At 39.5% G+C, this 20,479-nt stretch overlaps 1 protein-coding gene and 1 pseudogene across 10 annotated transcripts in view; both read left to right on the top strand.

Moving 5' to 3' along the window:
• Window positions 1-20,479, top strand: part of PDE4D (phosphodiesterase 4D) — a 1,553,091-nt gene that overhangs the window by 50,807 nt on the left and 1,481,805 nt on the right. The gene's annotated exons all lie outside the window — the stretch shown is intronic.
• Window positions 10,517-11,653, top strand: SETP21 (SET pseudogene 21; annotated as a pseudogene).

The following is a 20,479-nucleotide window of genomic DNA, read 5'->3' as shown; positions in this document are numbered from 1 at the left end:
ACTTTCTTGGCTTATGTGTAAGAAGCAGCTCCTCAAATCTTCAAATTTTATCATGGGATTGCAGAAATTCAATCACATCTTCAGGCTCCACTTCTAATTCTAGTTCTCTTGCTATTTCCACCACATCTGCAGTGACTTCCTCCCCTAAAATCTTGAACCACTCAAAGCCATCCATGAGAAGTGGAATCACTTCTTCCAAACTTCTGTTAATATTGGCATTTTGGCCTCCTCCCATGAGTCATGAATGTTTTTAATGGCATCTAGAATGGTGAATTCTTTCCAGAAGGCTTTCAACTGACATTGCTCATATCCATTAGAGGAATCACTGTTTATGGCAGCTACAGCCTTACAAAAATATATTTCTTAAATAATAAGCCTTGAAAGTCAAAATTACTCCTTGATCTATGAACTGCAGAATGAATATTTTGTTAAAGGCATGAAAACAATGTTAATCTCCTCGTAGTTCTTCATCAGATCTCTTGAGTGACTAGGTGCATTGTCAATGAGCAGTAATATTTTGAAAGGAATCTTTTTTTTTTGGAGCAGTAGATCTCAACAGAAGGCTTAAAAAATTCGGTAAACCATAATTAAACAGATGTGCTGTCATCTAGTCCTTGTGGCTCTATTTATGGAGCACAGGCAGAGTTGATATAGCGTAATTCTTAAGGGCTTAAGGATTTTTGGAATTGTAAATGAGAATTGGCTTCAATTTAAAGCTACCACCTGTATTGGTCCTTAACAAGAGAGTTAGCCTGTCTTTTGAGGCTTTGAAACTAGGAATTGACTTCTCTTTAGCAATGCAAGTCCTAGGTGGCATCTTCCAATATAAGACTGTTTTGTCTAGATTGAAGATCTGTTGTTTAGTGTAGCTACCTTCATTGAAAATCTGTTGTTCAGTGTAGCTACCTTCATTTGTTATCTTAGCTATATTATCCAGTTCACCTGCTGCAACTTCTTCCTCAGCATTTGCTGCTTCACCTTGTACTTTTCTGTTATGGAAACAGTTTATTTTATTAAACTTCATGAATCAATCTCTGTTAGCTTCAAACTTTTCTTCTACATCTTCCTTACCTCTCTCAGCCCTTGTAGAATTGAAGAGTTAGGGCCTTGCTCTGGATTAAGCTGTGGTTTAAGGAAATGTTGTCACTGGTTTGATCTTCTATTCAGACCGCCCAAACTTTCCCTATATGAGCAATAAGGCTGTTTTGCTTTCTTATCATTCATGTATTCACTGGAGTAGCACTTTTAATTTCTTTCAGAACTTTTCTCTTACATTCACACCTTGGCTAACTTGCACAGGAGCTTTTGGCTGTTCTTGGCTTTTAACCTGCCCTCCTCACTAAGCTTATTCATTCCGAGCTTTTGATTTAAAGTGAGATATGTAACTGTTTATTTCACTTCAACACTTCAAGGAAATTGTAGGGTTATTAATTGGCCTAACTTTTAATATTGTTGTGTCTCAGGGAGAAGGAGACCTGAGGAGAGGAGAGATTTCTGGGAAAAGCCAGTCAGTGAAGCAGTTAGAGAATACACATTATTCATTGATTAAGTTCGCCGTCCTATATGGGCATGGTTTGTGGCATACCAAAACAATTACAACAGTAGCATCTGAGATCACTGATCACATATCACCCTAACAAATATAATAACAATGAAAAATTTTAAATATTATAAGAATTACCAAAATGTGACAGAGACATGAAATGAGCACACATTGTTGGAAAAATGGTGCTGATAGACTTGCTCAACCAGGGTTGCCACAAACCTGTGATGTGTAACAAAACACAGTATCCGCAAAGTGCAATAAAGCAAAGTGCAATAAAACAGATAAGGGCTGGAGGCTCTGGAGTTGAAAGCCCTCTACATGGAGATGATCATTGAAGACATGTGATGTATGCAGTCACTAAGAGAGAAGCTGTAGAAGAAAAAGCTGAGTGTTGGAGAATGTTGCCTATGGGGTATGAAGATGAAGGGGAGCTGGTGACTGAGACTGGGTAGGAGCAGTCAGAGAGGTAGGAGACAGAACAGGAGGGGGTGGAGTGAAGGAAAGGAAGAAAAGTAAGGGCTTAAGAAGGACTTGGCCATTCTTTACACAAACAAGGCAGACAAATTCAGAGCAGAGACCTGGGATAGTGATGAGTGGGTTTCTTAGTGACCATAGTGAGAATGGTTCATTGGCTTGGTGAGGACAGATGCTTATTTATGGGGCTCAGGAAGAATGGGAAGAAAGACGTGGATTTTATAAATGTGTGCTATTCCCTTAAGCAGATTGGCAATAAAAGGAAGGAAAACTTTGAAAGAAACAGGGTAAAGAAATGATCTGTCTCCAAAAGAGGCAATTGTCTTGGTCATCCAGGAGGTAAAGGCAAAGGCTTGAAGATGCAGGAAATGGTGGGGACGATGGAGAGAGCTGGCAGGGATAGAATCAGGAGCATGGCTGGAGGGATTGGTCTCAGGAAGAAATAGAGACACTGCTTCAAGATTGGAGGGAAGGCTGGGCACAGTGGGTGGCTCATGCCTGTAGTCCCAGCAATTTTGGAGGCTGAAGTAGGAGGATTGCTTGAGTCCAGGAGTTCAAGATCAGCCTGGGCAACATAGTAAGATCCCCATCTTTGCAAAAAGGAAAAAAAAGTTAGCCAGACATGGTGGCACATGTTTATACTTCCAGCTACTTAAAAAGTAACCCTGACTCTTAAAAAAAAAAACTGAAGGCAAGAAAGAGACTGTGTGTGATGACCTATGACATTTCATATGAAGGAAGGAAAAATTGAGATAATTCACCTAGAATTGCCTCAATTTTTGTTGAGTGGGCAATGAAGCTGTTTGTTGAGAAAGTTAGAAGTATATTTGAGAATCTGAAAGGGCTTGAAAAGTTAGGATGTAGACTGGGCATGGTGGCTCATGCCTGTAATCCCTGCATTTTGGGATGCTGAGGCAGGTGGGTTGTTTGAACTCAGGAGTTCAAGACCATCCTGGGCAACATGGTAAAATCCCATCTTTATTAAAAATATAGAAATTAGCCAGGTGTGGTGGCACTCACCTGTGGTTCCAGGTACTCAGGAGGCTGAGGTGGGAGAATTTCTTGAGCCCAGGAGGCAGAGGCTGCAGTAAGCAGAAATCATACCATTGCACTCCAGCCTGGATGACAGAGCAGGACCTTGTCTCAAAAAAAACAAAAAAAAAAGAAAAAAGAAAGAAAGTTAGGATGTGTATTAGAGATGAAAAAGGGGACTGTCCAGTGAGGGAGGACCAGCATTTGGACTGGTTGAGTGGCTTGGTTCTACAAGGTATTATCATAGGACTTTCCTTAGTGACTGATATGGTTTGGCTCTGGGTTCCCACCCAAATCTCACATCAAATTGTAATCCCTATGTGTCAGAGGAGGAGCCTGGTGGGAGGTGATTGGATCTTGGGGGTGGATTTCCCCCTTGTTGTTCTTGTGATAATGAGTGAGTTCTCACGAGATCTGAGTATTTAAAAATGTGTAGCACATCCCCTTTCTCTCTCTCCTGCTCTGCCATGCCAAGACGTGCTTGCTTCCCCTTCACCTTCCATCACAATCATAAGTTTCCTGAGACCCCCAAGTCATGCTTCCTGTTAAGCCTGGGGAGCTGGGAGTTAATCGGACCTCTTTTCTTCATAAATTACCCAGTCTCAGGTAGTTCTTTATAGCAGTGTGAAAACGGACTAATAGAGAAAATGTGACACCCCAGAATTAAGGCAGAAGAAATGGATTGGGCCAGTGTAAGCATGGCTTTTAGTGAAAGGTTAAGAATACTAGGAAATCTCAGAGTTCAGAGAGAATTCAGTTGGAGATGGTTGACCATAGGCTGTGAAGGCAAGAGGAGGCTGAACAAGGTTCCTGTGAAATATCCATAATGACAGAGAAGAAGGAAAGCACATTTCTGGGGCTCCAAGTAGCCTCTTAGAAGTTGGAAAATTCTCAAGTCTTAAGTTTTAACTTTAAAATATTTAAAATTCCAGGGCTGGGCCTGGTGGCTCATGCCTGTAATCCCAGCACTTTGGGAGGCTAAGGCAGGCAGATCACAAGGTAAAGAGTTCAAGACCAGCCTGGCGAACATGGTGAAACCCCGTCTCTACTAAGAATACAAAAATTAGCTGGGTGTGGTGGTGTGTGCCTGTAATCACAACTACTCGGGAGGCTGAGGCAGGAGAATAGCTTGAACCCAGGAGGTGGAGGTTGCAGTGAGCAGAGATCACGCCACTGCACTCCAGCCTGGGCAACAAAGCAAAAATCCATCTCAAAAATAAATAAAATAAAATAAAATAAAATAAAAAAATATTTAAAATTCCAGTGCAGATCTGTTAAAATAAAGTAGTAGATGCTAGTAGGTGATTGATTTCTCAGTAAATAGACACCTAAAATATATATGCCATATTTTTCCATGACAAGGGCCTATACTGGGTGGGGGTGGGCTGGGAATTTGTATCCCAGTTTAAGAAGACTGGAAGAACAAAGAAAAGTAAGGGCAAAATCAACTACTGAGAACAACGAAGGGGCAGGATAAATTCAACAGGAGGGAAAGAGTAGGAAATGTTGAAAAATTTGAGACTGGCAGATCTTGAAAATGAGACAATCCTAGTTGATAATGAGCTCCAAAGTGTAATCAAGAAATCTTCCAAGTGATGGAGATAAAGAGATGGAGGCTGTCTTGGGTGATTTCAATCTCATTGAATTGCTCCTGACTTAGATTCAATACAAAATTTCTCTCTTGTGGTGCACAGAAAAAATATTAATGTTTAAAAAGATGCATTTGTAAAATGTTAAGCCAGACATTTATTTTTAAACATTGTCTTGAAGTCAGAGAGAGATTAATAGAGCCATTCTAAATTTTCTTAGGGAACATATTTGGTATCTGCCTCCTGTTGTACAATCTCTAAGAAAAGTGAGAGCAAGAAGAACTATAAAATTGAAATGCCAATTGTGATATCAAGTAATTTTTAAATGAATGCATCTTTCAATTCATTGATAGGATAAATCCTTATTTACTTTATCCGTGAGGGTCTCTGTCTTGAACAACAAGCAGCCAATTTGTGGAATTAGTGGCTGTTTCAGGAGGGTAAGTAACCTCTCATTTATGACCATCTCGTTCCTATGTTTTAAAATAAGATTGTGGACAAATACTTCCATTCAACCTAGTAGATGCATTTTGGCAATGGCAGATCACCCAAACAATGGATAACAATAGCAAAAGAAATGATATAGTCAGAAGTCTAATGTTAGCCATTTGTTCCTAGAGTTTCGAAATACAGTCAGTTCCCAACTCATGATGGTTCGACTTAGAATTTTTCAACTATTTTTATGATGGTGTGAAATTACATGCATTCAGTAGAAACTGTTCCCTTCCTGTTGAATTACTCTGTCCCTTCATTGTTCGGTGCAGTTGATTTTGCTCTTCCTTTTCTTTTTTTTTTTTTCACTTTCACTGCAGCATTTAAAATTACAAGAGATATTCAGTACTTTATTATAAAGTAGGTTTTGTGTTAGATGATTTTGCCCAACTGTAGGCTAATGTGAGTTTGGAGCATGTTTAGGTAGGCTAGGCTAAGCTATGATTCTTGGTAGGATAGGTATATTAAATGCATTTTTGAATTAATGATATTTCAACTTACAATGGGTTTATTAGGACATAATCCCACTGTAAGTTGAGGAGCTTCTGTAATTATAATATCAGATATTGATAGCTTCCATTGGTAAGTAACTTCAATATTTCCCACTCTTTTTTTAAAAGCTTGACGAGCATACAAATAATAAATAATTAATGTTTCTAGTAGAAAAGAGGTAAGTAACAGGAACAGAAATCTTGGACCATCTTAAATGAACCAATGGGAATGTCACCATGCACATCCTTCCAAACTTTGTTTCAAGCTATTTCATGTCAAATTTATGCTTATACAAGTGGAATAATATGTATGTTATGTCTTATGTTTTAAGGAAGTCTTGACTTATGGAGGGTGAGCATTTAGTCTCACTTTTAAACTAACTTAGGAAAATGATCTAAAGCATAGTGAAAAGAACAATAGAGCAAGAGGAATGAGGTGTTAGTTTAATGAAATAGTTTAGTGAAATAATGCCAAGGACTAATATATTGAAGAGATATTTCTTTAGCTTGGCATATTTCAGGAAGCAAGCGGGTGCATTTAATAAATTAAATTTTTATTTAATTATTTATTTTTATTTATTTATTTTTTTAAAGATGAAGTTGTGCTGTCACTTAGGCTGGAGTGCAGTGGTGCGATTATAACTCACTGCAACCTTGAACTCCTGAGTTCAAACAATCCTCCCGCCTCAGCCTCCCAAATAGCTGGGACTACAGGCATGTGCCACCATGCCTAGCTAATGAAAAAACAAAAAAAAGTTTATAGAGATGGGATCTCACTTTATTGTCTAGGCTGGTATTGAAATCCTGGCTTCCCACCATCCTCCCACCTTGACCTCCGAAAGTACTGGGATTACAGGTGTGAGCTGCCATGCCTGGCCTGGCCTTGCTTTTTTATTTTTTAGCTTTTATAGCTCCATATCCTCTAATGCCACCACAGTATGATGAGTGGAAATTTGGGTACCATGTTTAGCACTGATTTTCTCTCTTGGCGAGGAGGCACCACTATCACGCTATGTTGAGTTTTTGGCAGCCAAGATCAGAGGGACTGTCTTGTAATGGCCCCATCCCTGAGATCTGTGGGAATAACACAGGAGACAGGCACTGACTGCTTCCAGGGGAAGCAACAATCAGTGCACTGAATGCCTTACCAAGCTGAGTATCGCTGAACTTCAAAACAGTGCCAGAGGAGTAGAGTTTTTTTAACTTCCTCTGCTCTGTCAACAGCTGACTTAGCTGATTTTTGCCTGTGATGATAATATCCAGAGTGATGACTGGATTCTCATAATCTGCTTCTCTACTGTTAAGGAGGGATTTTTACCTGATAGCATTTCTCTAATTTTACTTATTTTATTAATTCTTCTATGCCAATTACTTATAAATTTTGGCTTATTTCTGATCACACTATACCATTTGTAAAACATGAAATTCAAGTTGATTGATTGCTATAATTTTCTCCCATCCATATTCTGGATGAATCAAAGATGAGGCTGGCAGTGTTTCTTTCCCTTTGAAAACACTTGGTTCATTTTCACAAACAGAAAAATTACATGGCTTCCTGGAGACATTGATTTGTTCTTCTGGAAGGGTTGGACCTCCATTGAGAATCACTAATTTAACAAAAAGCCCACAGATCATTGTATGAGTGTGTGTGGGATGGGGAGGGGGAGAGAGAGAAAGAAGGAAAGAAATGGGTTAAAATTTCATTTTAAGGAATCATTTTATTGTTGGATTAGAAACTAAAGACTGTCCATAAAAAAGAGGAACCATTCTAAAATTTTCATAACTTGCTGTATGTGTGTATTTTATTTCTTAATAAAGCTCAAGTAGTTTCTCATGAAAGTCAATGGATAGAGAGCCATTTCAGGACGTGTTTGAATTGGCAGTTGGTTGGAGTTTGGCCATGGCAGGAAAGGACAGCTGTTTGTTGTGGGGCCTTGTCTCCATGGTGTTGGGCAGCACATCTTCAGCTCTTTCTGGGAAGACCTCAAAGTAGGAATAGACCAAGAAAAACAGCAAGAGGGCATGACTGCATGCTGGTCAGATGGAATTCAGCCTGTACTGCTCTAGCAGAGCTTCTCCAGGGGTTAGAATGTTTTGCTTTTATAGTCATCTGGATTGTTTGTTTACTAAGGGTAGAAAGGTCCCAGCCTCACCCAAGACCTCCCGATTCAGTCTCTGTGGGGAGCTGCTTGGGAATCTGTATGTTAGAGAAGCTCCCAGGATAATTGTGATGTGTGGTCATGTTTAAGAGCTGCTAGTGTAAATAATGGTGAACAGTAGCACTGGCTGGAAGCACTGTAGAAATTGTGTGTGTGTGTGTGTCTGTGTGTGTCTGTGTGTATTGTGCAAGAGCTATGAGATAAGATCAGGCTACTGGAATTTGCCAAGAAGCAGCACGGGAGACACATTAACTAGACGCCAAGGATGTGGCCATAGACTTTCCTAGAAACTCCCTCATCTAGGGTGTGCACGTCTGGATTGCACTGACTAGTCCTGATTAAATCCTGTATGCATAGGCTCAGTGCAGGCTGGGCTCCAGAAAAGGCCATCCACAATGTTTTCTTTTAAAATTCCATATACTATTTATCTTTGATTTTCTACCTCCTGCAGGAATCCCTAGATCCAACTTTCTTTGGTGAGTTTGCAGGGGTTTCTGATGGTTCTCTTGTTTCACGGGTTTCCTTCTTATTTTCTACTCCTTTTATTTGGAATGTCAACCTACAAACTTAAAAGATTGAGCAAACTTTGTAGGAAAACTACAGAAGTTGGAACCACATATGATGCTTTCTATTATATGCCCAAAGTCTGTTGTATATGATGAAAATGAGGTTTTATTTACTTCTTGGTACACCAAACACAAACACTCTCTAATGAGGAAAAGAACCCAATGAGGGGGAAAATGCTGGATGCCAATGGATGGCAATGATTTATGGAACTCTGGGCTCAGTGGTAGTGAATGATCATCTTAAGGGAAGACACTATTCTACAGTTCGGTGTAGCTGGGATGACTTTATATCCTAGTTTGCAAGACAGTCCTGGCCTCACCTGTTGAGCTGGTGTCCCATCTAGTTAAGATACCTTTCATGCTCCCCAGTGTCCTGGTTGAGATACTCCGTTTATGTGGTCACCGTGAGGATAGGAAACAGAGAGAGGAGATTTTTCTTTGGATCACTGAATAGTACTCATTTCATTATATGATTTATCCCATTCCAGGCTCACCCCTAACATTTGAGGGCCCAGGACAAGACCCCCCTATTCCACAACCTATTCCTTCTCTTCTTGCCCTGGCTCCACTGTGCAACTGGAGGATCCTTGTAAGAATGTGTGTGGGTGAGCCAGCCTGCTCATTCAACTTTATTCACACCCACATCCACTAGCTGCCCATGAACACCCCTCAGGCCTAGGGGTGCGCACACCTGTGAGTTGATCTGCTTCGGGAGGGTGAAGACACACCCAGGCCCTGGAAGCTGGTTTCGGACCACTTGGGGCAGGAAATTCAAGGGTCATGAGTACTTGGGGAAGAGTCTAGAAGGGAAGTTGTCCCTGCAGGTGGGTATGTATCACAGCCCTGCAGACTGCTGGTTCCATGGAGAGGCATGGCTGGAGAAGGGCAGGAGAGGGCATTCTGAAGCATCAGCCCCCTGATTAGGGATACCTGGCCCTAGAGTGGTCCTGGCCTTTTCACTCCTGCTTTTCAGAGATCCTGCTTCTAACACATCCTTGAGCATCTCAGTAAAGCAAGCTTCCTATGCCATTCTGAAGTGTTTGGGTTAAGAACGTTTCTCATGTGAATAATGCTTGGTCACCAGACTGAGGTCCAGCGTATTCTTCATCTGGTCTGATAGAAATCCCTTGTCTTTAAATGTCATATATTTAAGGTAACAACTCTATTTTGTAGGTTGAAACAAAAACTTAAACTGTATCAGTTAATGTTTTTAAAGTCAACCAAAGGGAAGGCACCTCTTCCCAGTGTGTTTCATCAATTGAAATCTGGTGAATGTTTTTTTGTTTGCTGGTATGTTCCACCATGTGTGTGAGCATGAAGGTAGGAAAACTGTTTGCTCAGCCATTCCCTCTGTGGTTTGGTTTGTTGGAGAATCAGTCAAATGGAAAGGCTTTCCTCTGATGTGATTACAGAATCAAATATTTTATAATTCCCAGATACTTCTGAATCTTGAATAATTATTAAAGTCAGTGAACACTTTCTCTTTCTTTTCCTTGACTCCCTTTGGATTGAACTAGCCCGCAGGGCAACACAATATTATTTCCCTGGGCTAGGTGCACTTTCCTCTTCGTGGACTATTGGGTGCCTGTAGATAGAGTCCCTGTGCACAGCAGGCAGATTGTGCACCGCATAGTCCTGGAGGTAAATTTCACCAAGAGTATAAGTGGGATTGTGCAAAATGGTAGCCCTGCCTATGCATGTTTGGGGCAGGGATTCCCCCCAACTGTGTATTTCCTGGGAGGCCTGATTTTCCTCCTCTTTCTGTCACCCATCATAAGCATATGGAGAAGATGGATGTTTGAAGGGAAAATAATGTTATTTTCTGCATTTTCTCCCATTTTTTGAGAGCACTCATTCTCCTTCTAATATTAATTTAGATCAGGGAAAATAAAAGCCATTTGTTAAAGAACTAACTATTATATAATAAATTATCAAACAATTACGCCAAAGGTATGTTTACAAACTCCTGTTCTATCTTGGTGGGTTGATTAGCTTCCTTGGGGGGTCCAAACAGCTATGGCTTTTCCATTTTTATAAATGGTTCTGCATTTATAAAATTAAGAATGGACATTTATGCTATTAATTAAGAATGGAATTAATAGTGTAAAGGGATCCTTCAAATACCCATGTGTTATTGCTCAATTTTAACCAATAAATCTTATACCAGAGTGTTCTGCCTGCTTCCGGATGAGCAAGGAGACTTGTGGTCTGGTTCTTGGACTTCCCTAGCAGCATGGCCCCCAAATGCCAGTCTCCACTCCTGCCTCAAAAGAAGAAACCAAGAATGCCTCCTGCTCTGGGACCGGAGGAGACATTGGCCTCTGCAGGCTTGCTGAGGAAGGGAGAAAAAGAACAGCAAGAAGCAATTGAATGCATTGATGAAGTACAAAATGAAATAGACAGACTTAATGAAGAAGCCAGTGAGGAGATTTTGAAAGTAGAACAGAAATATGACAAACTCTGCCAACCATTTTTTCAGAAGATGTCAGAATTGATCGCCAAAATCCCAAATTTTGGGGTAACAACATTTGTCAAGCATCCACAAGTGTCTGCCCTGCTGGAGGAGGATGAAGAGGCACTGCATTATTTGAGCAGAGTTGAAATGACAGAATTTGAAGATATTAAATCAGGTTACAGAATAGATTTTTATTTTGATGAAAATCTTTACTTTGAAAATAAACTTCTATCCAAAGAATTTCATCTGAATGAGAGTGGTGATCCATCTTCAAAGTCCACTGAAATGAAATGGAAATCTGGAAAGGATTTGATGAAATGTTCATCTGGAAAGGATTTGATGAAATGTTCAAGTCAAATGCAGAATAAAGCCAGCAGGAAGAGGCAGCATGAGGAACCAGAGAGCTTCTTTACCTGGTTTACTGACCATTCTGATGCAGGTGCTGATGAGTTATGAGAGGTCACCAAAGATGATATTTGGTCAAACTCATTACAGTACTACTTGGTTCCCGATATGGATGATGAAGAAGCAGAATGAGAAGAAGATGATGATGATGATGAAGAGGAGGAAGGATAAAAAGATACTAATGAAGAAGACAATGAAGATGAAGGTGAAGATGAAGATGATGATGAAGGGGAGGAAGGAGAGAAGGATGAAGGAAAAGATTACTAGAACACTGATAGGTTCCAACTTTCCTGTTTAAAAATTTTTCTCCAGTCCCTGGGAGCAAGTTCCAGTCTTTTCTTTTTCCTCTTGTGCTCTGTTGCCCTGTTGTTGAGGTCTCTTTGCTCTACACCATGGTTCTCAACTTATTGCAGAATACAATGGGAAAAGTGTCTCTACGCCTTTCTGTTTGAAATTCATTTTTATCCCTTTCTGTCTGAACAAAAACTGTATGGAATCAACACCACCGAGCTCTGTGGGAAAAAAGAAAAACCTGCTCCTTTCATTCTGCTGGAAGCTGGAGGGTGCTAGGCCCCTGTGTAGTAGTGCATAGAATTCTAGCTTTTTCCCTCCTTTCTCTGTATCTTGGGCTTAGAGAGTACACGGTGTCTCTATGTGAATATGGACAGTTAGCATTTACCAACATGTATCTGTCTATTTTCTCTTGTTTAAAAAAAGAAAAAAACTAAAAAACAAAATGGGATTATAGAAGGTCAGCAAAGGGTGGATCTGAGATGTTTGGGTAGGTTAAGTGGGCATTTTGACAACATGGCTTCTCCTTTGGCATGTTTATTGTGATATTTAACAGGCATCTTTGTAGTTTAAGATGACACTTTTAAAATAAATTATCTCCTAATGATGACTTGAGCCCTGCCACTCAAAGGGAGAATCAGAAGAACCTGTAGGATCTTATTTGGAATTGACTTTCTCTATTGTAATTTTGTTCCTGCTTATTTTTAAGTTTTCTTTTTGTTTCACTGTAAAGGAAAGATGATGCTCAGTTTTAAACGTGAAAAGTACAAGTTGCTTTGTTACAATAAAACTAAATGTATACACATACACACACACACAACACACACACACACACACACACAAACTTATACCAAAATCACACCACTTTAGTTAGTTGTCCACTGGAAAGGTGCTCTTTGTTTTCGAGCTTCAAAGAAGCTCGTCTTCTTTTATTTGACTGTCGCTAGGGACTCCACTGAGCAGGAATGACTATTCTGATATTTGCTTGTTACATTTTTGGTTTTCAGAGGTGGCATATTGAGGAGGTGCACTTATGGATTGCAGCATAAGTATCCATGAGTCCGGGTGTGGTGCGTGTGCTCACTCATTATCTTGATGTGCTGCTCACTACCACGTCTCTCCTTTACACTATTGGAAACTTTCATTCTTAATAATTTAATTTATCCCTAGTGACTCCAGCCTCCCATGACAGACTAAAAAACCAGACTTGATGAAGTCCAGATATATTTTAATTCTCTTCTATCAAGCCCAAGGGAGAATTTCTTAGCGACTATGCTGACTTATGTCTTGAAAAAACTTTAACTTTGGGAATTTTGATGTATAATGAAGCCAGGAGAGGGAGACGTGTCATTCCAAAATGCTGCGAATAGAATTTAAGCAAGCAACATGACACACATTCTTTGTTTCTTTTGCTTTTTTTTTTTTTTTTTTTTTTGCAATGAAGTCTCACCCTGTTGCCCAAGCTGGAGTGCAGTGGTGTCATCTCGGCTCACTGCCATCTCTGCCTCCTGGGTTCAAGTGATTCTCCTGCCTCAGCCTCCTGAGTAGCTGGGACTACAAGCATGTGACACCATGCCCAGCTAATTTTTTTGTACTTTTAGTAGAGATGGGGTTTCACTGTGTTGGCCAGGCTGGTCTCAAAATCCTGGCCTCAAGTGATCCACCCGCCTTGGCCTCCCAAAGTGCTGGGATTACAGGTGTAAGCCACTGCACCTGGCCATGACACATATTCTTAGCTATTCTCCAAAAGGGAGAACACTAGAAAAGTGGTAATTTGAAAATAGAAACTGTCCAGTAGCAACTGGATGGCTCATAGCTCCAGTGGTTCTAATAAGCGCTCAGTGGAGAGTCTGATACATATTAGGTGCTCAAGAAAATATTTGTTAACTGAATAAACAAATCAATCGGATCTTGTTCAGAGAAATTCCAAAGCAGAGAATATCTGCCACAAGTGCTCACATCAACCATGCCTATTAAGCAGCACCATGTTGTTTGCTCTCGCAGAAAGGGATTTGATTTGGCATTTGCTGAAACAGGCCCCCATCTTACAGACGGCATTGAGACTCGGAAGAGTTAAATAATTTCCTCACAGCTACTAAGCACTAGAACTAGAATAAGAATGTGTGCTTTCTGACTCTGAGTCTAGGATTCTAGGACTTCAAGGGTTTCCTATCTTTTTGAAGTCATGGGGCAGAACAATATAAAGGAACAGCTGGAAAAACTGAAATGAAATTACTATTCACTCTTACATAGGAAGAATAAAGATAACTCTTGAGGGCCCTGATATATTATAGTAATAAAAACAAGACTGAGGTAGCAGAAGCACATGGACATGCAGGGAACACTTCCAAACATCCTTCAAAAGGCCTAACTTCTAAGGACAGGAAACATGAGGAAGCAGAGAAGGAAGGAAATGTGTCTAAATTCTTCCAAGCTGTTTCTTTTACTATTCAGGCCAAGCCTTCTATCTCTTAAATCAAAATTTCAGGGAAAGCTTATGGCAGATGAGACTTTTGGGAGTACATTAGAAAACAGGAGGGAAAAAGGCCTTATTACTCACTGATTTGTATCCTTGTGTTATTTTATAATATTATTAAAGCTCTTTCCATGTTATATAGATTCTGTCTCTCAGCTGTACTGCAAATCTATTAGGACAAGTCTCGTCTCTTTTATGTATTCCTTCTACTGTGTCTATATGTGGTGGTCTCTCAGTCGAGCAGGCTGTACAGTTTATTCGAAGTGTTCCAAGGAGCTTGTGTGCCTCCACTGCTCTGACCTCATTTTTGCAATGTTAATTAAGTTGGGTAGATGACCTATTCGACTGATAACACTCACTAGCTCACTAGTATATGGTAAGTAGTTTATTCTCTTAGTTAGTTGACCGTGACCAGATTAAAGCCCAAAAAGACAAGAAAAAAAATCAGGTGGTAGAGAGTGGGGAACAGAGGTATAGGACACTGTTTTGGGAAAGTGGATCTTCTTGTGTTCCTACAGAGGATAACTCGGGCGTGTCAGGATGAGGTATTACAAGAAGAGAGAACAAGAGGGGAGGCTCACCATTAAATTTGGCTTCTGGCCTTGGGTCAGCCTTGCATGATGTTTTGTAGACTGAGAGTAAGGAAGGAGAAGTTGAGACAAAAACTTTACTCTCTGTTTGGTCACTGAGAGTAAAGGTTCTCTTTGTGCTAGCTTATTCTTAAGCAGTATGCATGAGGCATTTAGGGGTTTATTGCTGAAGAAAATTCATCCTCTTGTGCTAATTGGGCAGGGATTCCAAGGGATTAAAACCAAAATCATTTGACCACCTGAGTTACAGTAATTTTAGAGCTTAGGTTGTTTATTTTCACTGTATAGCACAACCAAATACTATTCAGTCTGGCTGCATGGAATGAGATATGGCTAATTAGATTTCCTGGCTAACCCAGGTTAAGGCAGAAATGCCATGTTAACAGTAGCACCCTTAAACCTGGGGAAAGAGGCTCTTGCCTCGTGTCACTTGCTTTAGAGGGCCCTACTGGTCTTCCTCCACTGTGCCATGCCTTATGGGGAGACGATTCTGCAGAGCCATGTGGATATTGTCAATCCAAAGCACCCCATTCCCTCTTCTAAACCACTTGGTACCCCACAATTCCTACCTAAGTGATCCCAAGATGACTTCCAGGGCCTACGTGGGTCTCTCTTGAGTTCTCATCTCCCGAAGGTGAACTGTACCACTTGTGTTGAGCACTCCTAGGACCAAAGAGTGTGGGGCTGTGCATGAATCTTAGATGTTTGGGCTGAGATGTCCTTGGGGGTGTGTGCAAGGCCCCTCACTGCAGAAAAGAACTGAAGGTGGGGAAGAGAAGAGAAGGGAGTGGGCTACTGGCTGGAGAACCCTGGCTCCAAAAATTTTAGGCATGGGCTGACATTTCTAACTCTCCAGTGGGAAACCATTTAAAGCAGTCAACACATTGACTACGAAGTGCAGGCACTACTTTGAGTAACTAGACTTGATCGCAGAGGTCCTTGAATGGCCTCCTGGTCTGCATGTGTAACAACAGTGGTTATTGTTCTCTGGACTCTAATGCTGTAGGTACTAGATGTGACTGTTCTCCAGAGACATTCCTAGGGAGTTGCTAATGGTGGTGGTGGTAATTGCTATTATTATTTCATGAACATTGAAATCTTTTATTTTTTTGTAAAGTTGTCTCCTTGAATACTGGACTGTAAAGGTGTGTGGATGTGTTCTAGCAAATTGAGAATTGTAGTTAATTGAGTTCTGGTTATTTAACTTTTTACTGTAGTTTGTACTTGTTGCTTGTTCAGAGTCTAGGCAATTTTACATGGGCTTATTTTATCCTTTCTCCCTATCTCCATTAGTCTTCAAGATCAGGAAAATGATTTATGTCATTTTAAAATAGAGCCTTCCTCTGTCTCTCATTTTCCTTCTTCTCTCTCTCTAAGGTATATTATTGCCTACTATATCCTGTGCCCTGTGCTGGAATTTCTCTTGTGCTAATTTTTATTGATAACATATGATGGCTTAAAATGTCATCTAGTGTTTAGTAAATTCATAATAGAAAATAACTTTGTTCCCTCACAAATTTTTACAGACATTTAAAATTAGCACTTCAATATCCAAGTATTTTGCTTTTTCTTTTCTGGAGAGAAACTAACACCTGTAGGTATTTGTTGACATGCAAAAAATGCATGCAAGAATTTTAAAATTTTATACCCTATAATTGGTTGTATACTATTAATTAGACCTCTTCTTTAGCTCTCTTACTGTATACACTCTTCTGTTTTCCCAAATTCTCTCCTCTTTCTCTAAATTCCTCACCCTGTTCCCCACCCTTTCCCTGCCTTGTCTCTGGGTTTTTGTCTCTCTTGCCTCATTTTTCCTTCTTTCTCTCTCACTTTCTTCCCCCACCCCTTCTCTCTTGTTTACACTCCCCGCTCATGTATGTGCCGCTTCGTCTTTGTGTTTATATCTACCAGGGGAAAGACCAACCATCTTTATTTTTAAATTTTATTTTACTTTAAGTTCTGGGATACATGTGCAGAATGTGCAGGTTTGTTACATAGGTAAATGTGTGCCATGGTGGTTTGGTGCACCTATCAGCCCATTACCTAGGTATTAAGCCCCGCATGCGTTAGCTATTTATCCTGATGCTCTCCTTCCCCTCACTGCCTCCCAACATGCCCTGGTGTGTATTGTTCCCTTCCCTGTGTCATGTGTTCTCATTGTTTAGCTCCCACTTACGAGTGAAAACATGTGGTGTTTGGTTATCTGTTCCTGTGTTAGTTTGCTGAGGATGATGGCTTCTGGCTTCATCCATGTCCCTGCAAAGGACATTATCTCATTCCTTTTTATGGCTGCATAGTATTCCATGGTATATATGTACCACATTTTCTTTATTCAGTCTATCATTGATCGGCATTTGGGTTGATTCCATGTCTTTGCTATTGTGAATAGTGCTGCAATAAACATACGCATGCGTGTATCTTTATAATAGAATGATTTATAATCCTTTGGGTATATACCCAGTAATGGGATTGCTGGGTCAAATGGTATTTCAGGTTCTAGATCCTTGAGGAATCACCACACTGTCTTCCACAATGGAACCAACCATCTTTTAAAGTAACAAATGACATCTAAGTGTGAAGTCCGAAGTCAAAGAGCTAGAGAGTCATACAGTTTCAGAGTTGTCGCAGTTTTGATGATTGATTCTCTGGCAGGGTCGTCCTCATTTTGTACCTGAAAATATAGTTCTAGTGAATTATATCACTTGTCCAAGCCCACACAATGACCAGGCTTCCTAGCCCTGATTTATCAGTCCAGTCCTTTTCTTAAAAATAGTTTCTGAATATATGCAGGTAAAAATAATAAATAAGCCATCATAAGTTACAGACATGTATGTCTGCTTCTATGGTGCCAAGGAAAGAAAACAAGGGGAAGGCATGAACATAAAATAACACAGGTGCACTTATACATTGTTTCTTCAAAAGATCATGAAAGGATAGCTTAGAAATTGCCAGTAAGAACTATGACAAACAAGCTCAGACAAGTTACTGCAGAGAGGAGTGTACTTAAAGTTAGAAAGCGGGAGAAGTACACTTGTCAACAGGCAGAAAAGGAGGAGCTATGGACCTTACAATTGGAAAATGTGATTAAAAAAAAAATAACGAAGCTGATCCTTCTTGATTTTTCTTGTTTTGAAATTTATGGCAACCAGTACAACAAACCTATTTGAATGTATAAATTAAAATTAGTATACTGTGATTTACTTGGGCTAATATAAATGTAAAACCCTTTAAGCTAGACCAGCTGTAATTATATTCCCAAAGATTTGATTTTTATCATTATTTACAGCTAATAAGACATTTATGATCTCTTTTTGGTTGTCTCTGTTGAAGCATTGTTGGCAATGCTTTCCTGACTTGAAGTTCTCATGTGTGTTGAAATCGAATTAGGAAAATGAGTAAGTAAATAACTTATCCTAAGAGTATAATCTCTCCTTTGTGACATAAATTAGAAATCCATTCACATCTGTGGAATAATTCCCAGGTTTGCGACTACACAATCTGATATGCACAAGCAAACATGCCAATCTTTTCTCAGTCTAGGAGAATTTGGTCACTTTCTACTTGAACAAAACAAGCTATATGTGCTTTTAAATAGATGTATCATTTTCTCAAAATTGGATTATAAAGAGCTGATCTGAGCTGCAATCAGATGGATAATTAAACAGCAAAGGTAAGAGGCTTCTGACTGCCCATGTTTACAGTGTTAATTGAAAAAATAAAAATATGATTTTTAATCCTAAAGGTAATTTGACCAATGCACATGTACAATGATGTAAGGTTCTCTCACTTTCCATTTTAATCTCAGGATTGTGGAGGCATTTGAACCTAGCTTTCTCACAGAGAATGGAAGAAGTTTGACTGGAGAAATCTGGCCACATTTTACGTTTTTCTGGGGTGTGTATAGTTGAATGAAAACATGAAGATGCTACTTTTAAACAATTTTTTAATTTTGTTTTTTCTTCCTTCAGCTATGATGCTTTATTGTCTCAGATCTGTTTAATCACCTGGAATACTTTTTCGAGTGATTTTTAAAATGGCAAGAAATGTTCCCTTTTCCATAATGTAGCTGTTGCCTCTGAAATGCCATAGGTGTTTGCATTTTTTAAATCCTCATTTGTGGCAGTTATTACGTTTTGCTTCATGTTATGGTAATTTGGCATGCAAACATATCTTTTGTACCAAATTTTAAACTCTTTGAGGACAGGGTTCATATCATTGTCTTCTTTACCCTGGGCTTTTCACTGGGTTGGTGAAATGTTTGTGGAATCGGTGAATGAAGATAAGACATACATTGTCTTCTGAGAGTGGGCAGACATGTGGCGGGCTATTGCTGGATAATGTGCTCATAATATCCTGCAGATTAATTTGGTTCTTTGATGGAAAATGAAGTGAAAACATGCATCTGCAGTCCAACCTTTTCCCAATGTTATTCAAAATGTAATTCAATGTGATCAATTACATTGAAAATAATTGAGAAATGAGATGACACTTAAATTAGTTGAAGACAATTGTGGATTTTGCCCTTGGTTCTTTGGATAAGTAAACTTTTAGTGTTTTCTCAGAGATTTACAAAATTCCAGGGGCTGTGTATTCTTGCCTATAGGACATCCAAATCCTGAGGCTTTTCTTCTTATCATTTCTCATTTAACTGCTTATTAATTCTTTCCAAGAGAAGGAATAAGAAACATGAATTTTTGCTGTTAATTGAACCATCCCTTAAAACTGTTTGGACTGTCTTTTGGGCTATTGAGAAAAACTATTTGGTCACTTTTCCTGTTTTTTTGAGAGTCCAGGTAGAAGAGGTCTTTATTATTGTCATTACATAGTTCATAATAATATTTCTGTTTCACTTTTACGTAGCATAACTTTTCAACAAACCTGGCAAAACATCATCCAGGCATTCTGGTCAGTAAAGATCCTGTATCAGTTGTGCTGTAAGACATTATTGAGCCGATAATGTAACTGGTCCAGTTTCCCCCTTTTGTCTCTGTAGAGAGTTCGGCAGCATAGCAGAGGGTCCCATGGAAGTAGGGATAAAAGGGAATTCTTCTTTGGCTTTTAAAAATCTCTCAACTCCATTCAAACTTCTGCAAGTTTTCCTCCTTGGGAGATATGGAGTGGTTCCAACATCCTTAATATCAGTTGCCTTTTGGTCAAATTCCACCTTTAATCCCTTCTAAGAATGGGAAAATAAAGACATCTATTATGACGTCCTAAAGGCCTGTAGTTATTGAGAGAGCGGCCAAGACTAGAATTATAACTTGGGCCTCTGCTATTATGAATATATTGCTTGCTGTGAACTCACTTGGAGTAAACTTGTGTTATTATAGAAGTAGCAAAGAGGCCAAAAAAGAGACAGGGGCAAAAAGACATGATCATCACAAAGAAAAGATAAATGTTTGAGCTGATGGATATCCCAATTTTCCTGACTTGATCATTATACATTGTGTACAGGTATTAAAATATCACATGTACCTCCCAAATATGTACAACTATTACATGTCAATAAAAACAGTTTAAAAAGTGATCAAAAACAGTAGCAGAAATATATTCCTTATGTAATTTTCATCGCATTTGAGCATCTAGGATTTTTGACAAGACACTGGGCTTCCGTCTACCATAGGGTGCTTAGGAGGCCTAGTGATCTCCAGAACTGTGGGGTGTCAGTTCAAGAGTCTGCTCCAAGAATACATTAAGTGCTTACTTAATGCAGAGCACTATCTTTAATGCTTTGAAGATTATAAGTTCTATTTTTGACCCATCTTCTATGTTGGGCCATTTATTTTTATGATTTTTGCTTCTGCTTTGTCATTTATATGTAGGCGACAGTAATAGTAATGGCCTGGTAACCTTACAGGGAACTGCAGGTTGATGGTGGGGAAGCATCTTATTCTAATATACCCATATAAAGAC

This window comes from Homo sapiens, chromosome 5, assembly GCF_000001405.40.
Source record: "Homo sapiens chromosome 5, GRCh38.p14 Primary Assembly".
Classification (NCBI taxonomy): domain Eukaryota; kingdom Metazoa; phylum Chordata; class Mammalia; order Primates; family Hominidae; genus Homo; species Homo sapiens.
Note: the sequence above shows the minus strand (reverse complement) of the source record. Positions and strands in the feature narration are given on the sequence as shown.